Source organism: Homo sapiens, chromosome 2 (genome assembly GCF_000001405.40).
Source record: "Homo sapiens chromosome 2, GRCh38.p14 Primary Assembly".
Lineage (NCBI taxonomy): Eukaryota > Metazoa > Chordata > Mammalia > Primates > Hominidae > Homo > Homo sapiens.
The window spans coordinates 142,953,614-142,966,411 of record NC_000002.12 but is presented as its reverse complement, the minus strand read 5'-3'; the positions used below and the strand labels follow the sequence as shown (position 1 = coordinate 142,966,411).

The following is a 12,798-nucleotide window of genomic DNA, read 5'->3' as shown; positions in this document are numbered from 1 at the left end:
AAGCTAAGACTTTAAAGAAGTTAGTGTGCATTCCTTTGACTGAATCCAGACAGAGGCTGTGGACACAAAAGCCAAAGGACACAACCATGAATCTTTTGGAAACCTGAATTAATGGATGGAGAGAAAGTTAATTCCTGCCCGATGCATGAGTAAAATATAAACATCTATCACTGTGAAGACATTTGTGACTGTATTTATTTATAACCAATAACTATTCTACCTAACACATCAAGAGTTCTTATTAAAATATTTTTCATTATTTATTTCCTATTTCTTATTATAATCTAAATTTGTGGGAAAGTCTATTCATACCTCAAGATGATTTAGGCATACAGTCTTGATTCCTCTTGCTTTATATCTTATTTTCACCTTGTCAATTTTCCATGAATTGTTTCAAATGCTTTGTGAAATGAGACGATAAAAGAAAAAAGAAAGAGAGAGAGCAAGGGAGAGAACAAAAAGAAAGGAGAGCGAGGGGGAAGAATAAAGGGATAGAAAAAAAGGAAAAAGGAGCAATGAAAGAGGAAAGAGGAAAATGGGTTAGGAACAATGAGATCCTATGAGGGTATAATTGAGGAACATAAGAAATATTATATTTAGCCAACCCGAAGCCCATTCCCAACCCCTTCCTCTTAGTCTCTCTCTACTTTAGGGCCATAGATGTGAAATATTTCCTTACTCATGCTCTTTCTTAGCTGCCATTTCAGGAAGCAGTGAGTCATTAGCAGGAATCTGCTAGGTTTTTTTCTGGGAAAGATTTAGCACTTAGGATGAAAGAAACAGATGAAGCTGCCCTGCTGCTTCTCCCTTCTTCCTTCTCTCTGCCTTAAATAGAAATGAGATTTCTGGATTTGAGACAAATATCTTGTGACTGTGATGGAAAAAGTCTGAGAAAACTCTAAGGAAACTTGGGAGATGGCACTCAGACATAATTGAGTTGCTGAGTGGACCCCAGCAGCCCCTTGCCTCAAGTCTTTCGTGGTGAGAAAAAGAAATCTGCATTTTTCACCCAAGGTTAACATTTGTTTCTTGTAGCTGAAAACATTCATCTTTGATTCAGAAATATTAAAAGAAAGACAGACCCTGAAAGGATGAAATTAATAAGAGATAGGTTAAAAAGGTCAAGAACAGAAAAGCTGAGTGTACTGGTCCAGAAAGATGGTGACATGATGATACAGTAGAGACATCTTGTGGATGACACAAATCTCTTTGGAGCATATTGATCCCAAGGTACATATAGGACATCCGGATGTAGTGGGAAGATGCAGGCTATTTCCTATTGTATGAGTAGCCTGGAGTCTGCACTTGACAGTGGTAGCTGAATTATGGCAGTGGTTAAAAATCACTAGAGATACAATGCAGGGGACAATCAGAAACATCTACAATTAGTGGGTGTAGGAAAGAAGTTCCTAGTAGAAACAAGTAACAGAATATGAAAAATATAGAAACATGGAAGTAAGACAGAGCTCCAAAAAGATGGGTTGGCACATCTTCATCTTGAAGAAGCATCTTCAAACTGATGTCTCTTGCCACATGCTGGCCTTCCCTTGTTATTGAGCTCTCTAACCTGTTTTCCTTGGCCTCCCCCACTTGCTACAATCTCAGGCCTCCTCAGTTAAGAAAAGCCTCAGTATCTTAAATCTATTGTGTGAATCAAAGTCATATTATCAATTGTTCTTTTTATTAATTAGTTTTCTTCTTTGATGACCACTTGAAATCTTGTATTTTCTCTCTCCTTCAAAATCAATTTCTATACCACCTACAATCAAACCAGGAAAAGAAAGCTAACCATATAGAAATATGGGCAAGACACTTGAACAAGCATTTCATAAAAGATATATAGAAAATCAACAAGTATTTGGAAGATTCTCAATCTTATCAATAATCAGGGAACTGCAAAATAAAACTGCCACGCATTACCACTGCAAACTACTTAGAACAGCTAAAATTATAAAGACTGAAAACAGTAACTATTGGTGAAGCTGTAGAGAAACAGAAAGTCTAATATATGCTGGTAGAAGAACAACTTTTTTGGAGGATTGGCATTATTGATTAGAAATAAATATACAAATACCTTATGGTTCAGGAATTCTAATTCTAGGTATATACTTAACAGAAATGTATATGAATGTATACCCCCCAAAATTTATGTGAATATTTAGAGTAGCATGTATTATTATATTAGTAGTTCTCAAATGAAAATAAAATCCAAATATCTACCCTAAATAAAACGGAAAAAACCTGTGATCTATTTCATACTATGTAAAAATACACTGAAATAGAAAAAAAAAACAAACAAAAGTACTGCTAGGTACTGCATGAATGAATCTCACACATATAAAAGTAGCAAATAAGCCAAACACAAAAAAAAACTTTATAAAAGATGAGCATCTAAAATCCCAAATTCAGAAATCTGAAAGGCTCCAAAATCCAAAACTTTTTGAACACTGACAGAATGCTCAAAGAATAAAAATTTCATTGGAGCACTTGAGATTTCCAGATTTGGTGTGTTCAAGCAGTAAGTATAATGCAAATATTCCAAAATCCAAAAATATCCAAAATACTTCTGGTCCCAAGTATTTCAGGTAAGGAATATTCAACCTGTGTATACCTTCATATAAAGTTCAAAACTAGACAAAATAATGCATTTATATAAAGTTCAAAATGGACAAAGCTGACTATGTGGTTAGAAGTTAGGGGAATTATAAATTTGAAAGGGGGATGCTACGGTCTAAATGTTGGTCTCCCCAGACCCCAATTTTATATGTCACAACCTTATACCCAATGTGACAGTATTAGGAGGTCAGGGCTTTGGAAATGATTAAGTCATGATTAAGTGATTCCTCATGAATGGAATTTGTCCCTTTGTATTAGAGGCTCTAGAAAGCTCCCTTAGCCCTTCTGCCATGTGAGGAAGGGCAAAGCAACAAGGCGTCATCTGTGAAACAAACAGCAGCCCTAAGCAGACACCAAGTCTGCTGGCATCTTGATCTTGCACTTCCCAGCCTCCAGAACTGTGAGCAATATATTTATGTTGTTTTTAAATTACCCAGTTTAAGGTATTTTGTTATAGCAGCCCAAGTGGACAGAGACAGAAGGTAACAGGTAGTATTTGGAAGAAGACACGATTGAGGATTCTGAGTATTGGAAATACTTTTTTTTTCTTGATGGGGTGATGGTTATAAGGCCTCAAAATAACTCATGAAGCTATTTGCTTATGATTCATGCTGTTTTTGGTATACATACATTTCTTAAATTAAAATATTTTTCACAATTTCTGTTTCTTCTTCCTTATCACATGACTATGAAGATTTTACCTCAGAACCTCCTGATTGACTCTCATTGCTCCATCCCACCATCATTTTGTATTCCCACCATGCTTTATTTCTGAAAACGTTTTTTTGCCTCACATGTCCAAATCTACCAGTGACTGTGTCATGCCCTTTGTTCTTAGAATTTCCTATCTCTTTCTTGATTGACACCTTTAATTTCTTCTCTGCCTCTCTCTTCAGTTTTATTCACAGATGACCAGACCACCAGAGAGACCTATCGAAGTCTACATTTCAAAGAACTTTGCCTCACCTTGGTTGATAATAGGAGGAACTACAGCAAGAGGGTAAAAATTTGTTAGAATAATCTTGATAATGGATAAATCTACATCTGCTATATCCCCATTTGATTCCCATAGTATTGATTGCTTCTTCATAGTTACACTTAAAGCTGCTCATTCCTACCTTCATTTATTTGACTGAGAGTTCTATGAGACTAACTTGGTAGGCATTTACTATATTTTTTAAGTTAAAGAAAACCTGCAAAACATTTAACAAATGGCTTTAGCAATCAAAGTACTTAAGTATGAGATTTACTTATAAAACCTAAAGTAAACAAATTTATTTTGTGTTTCAATGGGAAACAAAAGAAAGTGTCTCTCAACCACTTTATAATATCATATTAATTGAGAAGAGTAGAAAGGTAAGGAAACCATCATTTAATAGCAGAATGTGTGCCAATCCATTTGGTGTTTTATATTCATCATTCTCACACTGAACCTGTAAGGTGGGTGCTGTTATGTTAAATTAGCACTTTTAAAGCGAGATGTCAAGTAACTTGCTCAAGATTGTGTAACAATTAAATGACCTAGCCAAGATTTGAACCTCAGATTGTGTGATGGAAACCCATGGTCTTTCTTCTGTATCTTGCTGTCTCATGTCTAGGAAGGTTAATGAGACATACGTGTATACTAAGGAAGCAGGGACTGCTGATTACTTGCATAACATTTTAAAATATGATTTTTTATTGGCCTCCCTTTATTTTGGTGCTTAACATTTAACATCTAAATTAAGAAGACATTATCTTTATATCTTTTGTAATGCACCACTTTCAGAGTTATCCGTCAAAGCAGTTGGAAGTCGTTGTTAGAAATTCCTAGAGACTGCTGATAACAGTGCTAAATATATTTTAATTAGTTCCATTCATTAGCTTCAATAACTGAATATATTAACTAGATCTCACATGTATATTAATCCCATAACTTATTAATGTTCAGAATAAAATTCAATTGTCACATTTTTAAATACATGGCTTGATTGCTGAATGAAATAGAAGTGCTATTTAAAGATTTTAAACACAAATTGTGACTGTTGAATGTTGCCCTTTTTTTTCAAATAAATACTAAAAACACTTTTTACAAACACTTACATACAAAGAGACATGACTTCAAAACAATTTAACTGTGATTTAGTAGTGGGTAGGAAAAAAAGCTCTCATTACAGGCAGTATAAAAAATTTTCAAGAGTCTTAGGAATAAAATGGCCTCCTTAAAGTAACTTGTATAAAATTTGATCTACTGATAAAATTGAATTCTGCATTTCTTCATCTTTAGATACTCAGCATTAAGTGAAAACTCATTTATAGAGTGATTTATAGTATGACAAAGTATGAGTTGAATTTTTAATAGACCTAGCATGTACTTCCTATCTTAAGTATTTTGTCTGCTTCCTGGTGACTGACCAGCTGAGTACCAATGGCATCACCTACAGCTTGCCTGGCCTGCTGACTAGAGGCAAATGCACAGAGCAGCTGCTACTAAGGAGGTGAGACCACAGAAGTGGCAAAAAAAAAAAAAAAAAAAAAAAAGCAGTTTAAATAGAGATGCCTGAAGCAAAAAAGATTACAGATTTTCTTTTAAAAATGTAAGATTTACTCGCTTTTTTTTTTTTGAGATGGAGTCTTGCTCTGTTGCCCAGGCTGGAGTGCAGGGGCACGATCTTGGCTCACTGCAATCTCCACCGCCCGAGTTCAAGTGACTCTTCTGCCTCAGCCTCCCGAATAGCTGGGATTACAGGTGCCCACCACCATGCCCAGCTAATTTTTGTATTTTCAGTAGAGATGGGGTTTCGCCATTTTTGTCAGGCTGGTCTCAAACTCCTGACCTCGTGATCCCCCTGCTCCAGCCTCCCAAGTGCTGGGATTACAGGCGTGAGCCACCGTGCCTGGCCCAAGGTTTACTCTTTTTTTTTTTAACTTTTGAAATAGTTTTACTCAGACACAAGCTAAAGTACTTCACAAGTCATGCAATTAGAACACTCTTAAGTAGAGTGATGTTTGGAGTAAGGTGGGAAGAAGTAAATGGCGTGCATACCTTCGCTTGTCCAGCTTTTGTGATGGCAGGAATATTAAAGTGCTGTCCAGTGTAAAAATGCACCCCACTGAACAGGATCACTGCAATTGAGTCTCCTTCCTTCTCAATTACTTCAAGGATATCCTCTATTCTTAAGGTTTCTTCCCCCTAAATCAAGTTAGGCACAAGTTAGGTCATATCGATAATAATAAATTTGTAATTTCATATTGCCGATCTAAATTTCACCGTGAGCCCTTTTGCATTATAAAATAGTTTTTTTTTTCAGATTAAGGTTCTTTAAAAATCTGGCATAAGAGCAGCATTTGAGCATAATTTTTATTATTAAGAAATGATAATTAAAAAGTAAAAAGTGTTTTTTCAAGTGAAAGTCTTCAAAAGCCGAATTGCTTGATTTATTCTCCAGTTTTTAAAAATTAATTTGTACTCTTTCCACAGCTATAAGTTGTTTTCTCCTTATTCCTGACTAATAAAACACCACAAAGTGCAAGAAGTCCATGAAGTATTATATAGCAAGATAAATTATCAGAAATTGGTATTGCATTTATCAATCTGATATCCTGTTATTGTTTCCAAAAAAAGAAAACATGCCGGGTGTGTGGCTCACGCCTGTAATCCTGGCACTTTGGGATGCCAAGGTGGGCAGATCACTTGAGGTAAGGAGTTTGAGACCAGCTTGGCCAACATGGTGAAACTCAGTCTTTATTAAAAATACAAAAATTAGCTAGGTGTGGTGGTGCATGCCCGTAATCCCAGCTACTTGGGTGGCGGAAGCACGAGAATAGTGCCACTGCACTCCAGCCTGGGTGACAGAGCAACTCTGTCTCAGAAAAAAACTAAACTAAATTAAACTAAACCAAAGAAAACATAACACTTACACATCTTTTATCTGAGTTTTACCTAGCCAATATCTTCTATTAGATTAAGATTAAAATCTCCTCCAAACTAATCTAAAGCTCAAGACCCAAACAAGAAGAAAAATATCAATAAAACTGACTATAATAGAGGGTTTTTTCCTTATATCTTGCCACTACAACTAATAATTGATTACTTACTAAAGGTTGTGAATGAATTTAGATTTGGTCTTGCAAACAACTTGAGCTGAAAAAAATTAGTTAAATACAAAGTACCTATGTGTATCCTGTATCCTAGCAATTCTGAAGTTTTCATAATTTTTTTTTTTTTTTGAGACGGAGCTTCACTCTTGTTGCCCAGGCTGGAGTGCAATGGTGCGATCTTGGCTCACCACAACCTCCACCTCCCAGGTTCAAGTGATTCTCCTGCCTCAGCCTCCTGAGTAGCTGGGATTACAGGCATGTGCCACCACATCTGGCTAATTTTGTATTTTTAATAGAGATGGGGTTTCTCCATGTTGGTCAGGCTGGTCTTGAACTCCCGGCCTCACGTGATCTGCCTGTCTCAAACTCTCAAAGTGCTGGGATTACAGGCGTGAGCCACTGCACCCAGCCATGAATTTTCTCCAGTGCTGTCTGACATGATTTTGAGGTCAATGCATCATTAATTACGTTAATATTTGGGGGAAGCTCATTAAGATATTATCCTATAGTTTACTTTTAATTTTTAATTATCTTGGTATTTGCCAATTACTCTGCTCCATGTTAAGAGAGTACGTGTGTGTGTGTGTGAGTGTGTATGTGTGTGGGTGTGAAATAAACTCTCTACTAGAAGAAACCAGGAATTTGTTTACAAAATGGGCATCAATAAAAATTGGCATCCCAATATTAATGGGATTGTTATTAAAATATCTGAATTATTAAGTGAAGTATACTTTATATAAAGAAAAGAATGTCATTAATTGTAAGTAAAATTGATAACTTGGCAATCCAAAACTCTTTATTCTTAAAACAATCTAATAAGGTTTACCCACCATAATTTCCAATAAAGTGGTAAGGAAAATATTATAGATACTAATACTTAATTTATATCTTAAAAAATCAGTATTAAGCACATAAGAAATACATTTTTCAACGACAGGATACGGCCCTCTCTCATGTTGACTTGTTCTAGGTAATGCTCAACAGTGGTCCCAAGATTATGAGTAACTCATGAAACTCCACAATATTGGTCACTTATGTGATTATTAGCAGCTATGTTCATTTTTGCTAGAAATTAACAATTTATATCCTCTCAATTTATATCCTCTCATGTGAGAACTTTTTATTCCATTAATTTATTGTATGTTGGCAAATGGAAGTGAATAGAGTACATCTTTAATTTATTCAAAGTAATTCTGGGTTGAAAGAAGTAATTGTCCAAACAATGACTAGCGGTCTGGGAGCATCTTATGTGAAACCTAAAATTTATTCTGTATGATTCGACTAGTGACAAATTACACAAGCTGCAGGGTTTAAATGTCAAAGTCTGTGAGCCTTTTATCTCTATTAATGTAAAGTACACATTTAGATCTTAGGTCAAGCCTGATTAGACACATGCTTTTGTTATCTGTTTAAATATAAAGGAGTCTCAGAGAATAAAGTAACTTTCCCAAAGTCACATACCCAGTAAACTGGAGAGTCTGAGATTTCACTGGAAATATTAGCCAGACTGTAAAGCCAAAGCTCTTCCCATTATACCACATCCCTTTCTCCACTATCCTAGTCTAAACACAAAGAAAATGTTTGATACTTAGAGTAAGAGGGGACATGAAATATAGTCACGATTCCATTTTAACAAATAATTCTGGTCTTTAGCATGATTTTAATGGCACCCATGGGCATGACATTTGGAATTGAAAATGATATACTAAATTTGTCACCCTTTTCCCATCCCATTGAAGAATATGGCAGAATCCAGTGGTATTAACAGAAAAATAGTTTGCTTGCCATATGGCTAGCCCTTGAAAAATGAAAATAAATACACATCTGAGTTATTCTCTATTTTAAGCAAAATGATCTAATAGTAACAGAAGTATAGGTCCTTCATGCTTTCTTGAAAGTTCCATTAAAGTAATGAAGATTTTAATAAACTTTTGAGGAAAATGAAGAAAAAAATCAATACTAAACAAAGCATGACAAATATTTCTTTCTTTCTCATATACCTCTCTTGGCTTTATCATCCGCATACTTTCTTCAATGTTAAGTCCGTGAAGTTGTAGTTGTGACTCAATAGCATACTAAAAAGGAAAGATGATGTATTTATCAAATCAAGCTGAGAGCACAGAAGTACATTGAAATAACAAATAATAAAGTAAAAATAAGGGCATATTATTATATTAAATCCAAGGTGAAGGTTAAAACACCTAAACAAAATACACAACAGAGAAGAACCACTTAATAAAATTCACATATAGAATTCTGAACATTCTTTGAGATAGATGAAAACAGAGGGATCTCCTTGACTTAAGGAATTATAAGAGATTTTAGAATAAGAAATTAAATCATCTAATCTAAGTCAAAACCAGAATTTGCAAAATAAGCAAAATGAATAGTAGGGACTTGTCATCCTTGAACATAGGATATAGAAATGGCTTACCCTAGGAAGAGTAAGTTAGCTAAAAAAAAGGCATTAAGAAGTTTACTTCATTAAGAGTACCAGATATGCATGTGGATAAGCCCCCACACCGACCTGGAATCTTTTGTAGATATTAGGATTTTGATCCATTTTAGTAAGATATTAGGGTTTTATTCCATTTGACATAATTACTTGCCCTAAAATTACAAGGGCTAGAGTAAAAGACAGCAATAATATAGAGAAATAAAGTTTCTCTAACACCAAAACTAAAATATAAAATGTACTTTTAAAATTAATTAATTTATTTATTTATTATTTACTTTATAGAGACGAGGTCTCACTATATTGCCCAGGCTGTTCTCAGACTCCTGGGCTCAAGTGTTCCTCCTGCCTTGGTTTCCTGAAGTGTTGAGATAGCAGGAGTGAGCCACTGTGCCCAGACTTACATTGTACTTTTATTTGTGTTTGTGTCTGAAACCATTACATTTCTTATCAAGTAAGAATAAACAACTCATCATCAAGTAAAGTAATGTGACTTTTTTTAGTAAATCACAAGAAATATTTTTAATCTCTAATAAATAATATTTTGATAATAATGGGCCAACATTTATGCTAGCATGCTATGAAAACACACTGGACAAATAAAAGTTTATATTCCTATTCTATTTAGCTAAAGGGTTAAGCACTGGGGTTTGTATTGATTTGATTTCATAAAATAAAAGAGCAATAAGAATTAATAAAACATTTATAACTGCACTTGATTTAGAGCAGTGGTTTGCTCAATGTCTTTAAAAAGACTAATAAATCAATGTTCCTATTCCATCTTCTCTTCCCTTAACACGTGTTTTACTTTAACAAAAGAAATAAAGCTATAATCTATTAAAAAATTTAATCAAAAGCATTTGACAGATCTTTTTATTGTAAGATTGCTTGGAAAAGCCTAGTGAGTAAACATTCAAGTCAGGCAAATGATACACTGCTCTAGGAAGAGTAGAAAGAACATAAATACAATTTGAAGAAGTCCTTACATGATCAGAAGGGAAGGCTTTGGCTTCTAGAAGAATTTTATATCGTTTTGGCGTAGGCTTAAAAAATGATAACTGCAATAAAATGGATTTATTGAGAAAGCATTAATACACAATTTATACATTTGTTCATTTTATGTCACACTATCATTTTATAATCTCCAGTATTTTAAAGACATTAATTAACTCAACATCTTAAGTGTTTGTCAGGACTACCTTTTCAATTAGCCATGTTTCCAGTGAATCTCAAAGAGAAAGAAGATATTGGCTCAATTTGCTTATCAATGAAACAGCAAACTCGGGGGAAAATGTGAATGTGATAACGAATCCTCAAACTTTACTTATATATTAATTGATGAAACTTAAAGTCTGATGATTAACAACAAAAAAAGCTGTTAATTGACAAATTATCTTCCCAAAGCATTTCATGGTAATTTTGATGGCATGACACTGAAATATTATGGTCTATGTATGTCTTATTTGTATTGATAGTAGCTCATTTGTTCAGTGAAGCTCTTTCATTTCTCCACACAGTTCCTAGAGAGTGATATTGACAACAATAACAACGAAGATGATAGCTACTGTTAACTGAGTGTTGATCACTGGCCAGGGTACTAAAGCAATTTTCACATATTATTACATTTAATTCTCATGCAGATCTTTGAGGTAGATATTATGTTTCTCATTTTTACAAAGGAAAATACTAAGACTTAGAGATGCCAAAAGCCTTTTTCAACCTCAAATAAGCATTATGTAATTTAGCTGGGAGTCAAATCCAGGGATATCTGAACTTGTAGACATGTTTCCAAAACATACTTGAAAAAATGAAGTCAAGATTCTTTAAAGCATTGGGCAGTCACCATTAACACAATATCCCTAATAGATAATAGATTTGACACTTTAAGGTAAAACTGTTTATTGAGTAAGATGTAAGAAGTACTTTAAACACATTAACTCATTTAAGGTACTAGACCTCTTTTTAAAAATTTAATACTCCAAGTCTTTTTTAACCTATATTAATATACAAAAGTATACTGATCCACTAACTCACTCTGCTGAAGCCATTAGAAAATTGTCTTTCCAAAAAGGTCAGTGCTTTGCTAGCATTGTACATCACTGTTTTGTAGGCTTGCATGTAGTTTGCCTATTTACCCATTATGGCTCTTATTCTTTATTTTCCCAGACAAGAACTGTTCATTATTCTAAAGCTCTTCTCAAGAGTCAACTCTTCCATGATTAGGAAGAAGCTATTATATCATGGTCCAGCATTTCCTAGTAAAAATGAAAATAACCTCACAATTTATTTTTAAATAAGTAAACCCCCAGAAGCTCATGAATTAAAGATAGAAAAACATCAGATTCTGTAAATGAATGTGTTCTAAACATTAGTGGGAAAGAAAACTTACCATTAGAAGATGTAAATTTACAGTCAAAGCATTCATTAGGGCTATTTCTTTCTCATTGGCTCCTGTAAAATAAACATATCGTAATTTAGATGTTTGTACTATGTCTAAAGATACTGAAAAAACAAAGTAGGAAGACTTCACTCAATCATTCTTAATGTCTTTAGAGATAAGGGCATATTTGATGTGTCATCACAAAGAAATGGAAGTTTTCCCACTTGACTCATTTTATCAAATGATATCTGGACTTAGATGCACACAGCTAGCTAAAATTAAATTTCTTTTATGATGTAGTAAATAACAACAAAATAATGAAGCATTTGCTTTTGCCTGTAAACTAAAAATGATATATCCTATTATCAGCTCAATTGTCAAATTCCCAAGGAGCATATTTTTGTGCTAAGTATATCTTCAAAGGAATCTAAAAAGATATTAAGGCCAATTACATTTTTAAAGTTCGTTGTTTCTAACATCAAATTAAAATACACCTTTTATAAAAGGAGGCAAACTTTGTGAATCATAACTCACTGTTATTACAGTGAAATATATAACAAGACAAAACAGCCGCATAGCAAATTATGACCCAAATAGCTCTGACATTTATTCATACACACTGAGATAAAAGATAATATAGACGTGTATTGTCTGATGAGAAAATATGCAAAAGTAAGATATCCACTACATAATTATTAATATAATCTGATCTAATTCCTGCTAACAAGGGTTTTGACACTAGAAACAGATCCAGAGACAGAGAATACATTGGTTACTTAAGAATTCAAAGCATAATCACAACAATAATAATACCTTCCATGTTTTGAGTCCTTATGATGTTTCTTCAAGGCAATTAGACCTGTGTAATAGAAATTACGCCCCTTTACTGTCACTGAGAAAAATGAGATGTGTACCTTATCCAGAGGGATATTTCTGAGAGAGTCCCATTTTAAAAGAATAGACAGTACATAGAATAAATCTAATTGACAGATTCCAGGATAAGTTCACTAGAGGGGAGAAGCCATGTAAATAAGTATATAATTTAAGAATTTATATTTCAACATAGCCATTTAAGGAAGGACCTGTATCTTTATTGGGTCAAGGAAAACTTCTTGTTGCATTTGCCACATAGATTTCTCCATTTGACAGACAAGGTTGATGAACAAGTGGTGGATGCTAAAAGACGTATCTCTGATCACTGTAAGGTGAATAATATCTAACGTCAAGGGGCAGTAAGAAAAATCTCACTGTATATTCCTAGAACTAA

The 12,798-nt window shown here is 34.1% G+C and overlaps 1 protein-coding gene across 8 annotated transcripts in view; it reads right to left on the bottom strand.

The window, feature by feature from the left end:
• KYNU (kynureninase) overlaps positions 1-12,798 on the bottom strand; it is a 178,170-nt gene that overhangs the window by 89,422 nt on the left and 75,950 nt on the right. For all 8 annotated transcript variants that reach the window (NM_001199241.2, NM_003937.3, XM_047446250.1 and 5 more), the window contains 4 exons: positions 11,541-11,602; positions 10,138-10,209; positions 8,697-8,771; positions 5,642-5,788 (listed from right to left, as the gene is read on the bottom strand). In NM_001199241.2, the coding sequence (NP_001186170.1) occupies positions 5,642-5,788; positions 8,697-8,771; positions 10,138-10,209; positions 11,541-11,602 (356 nt within the window). The remainder of the gene's footprint in view (positions 1-5,641; positions 5,789-8,696; positions 8,772-10,137; positions 10,210-11,540; positions 11,603-12,798) is intronic.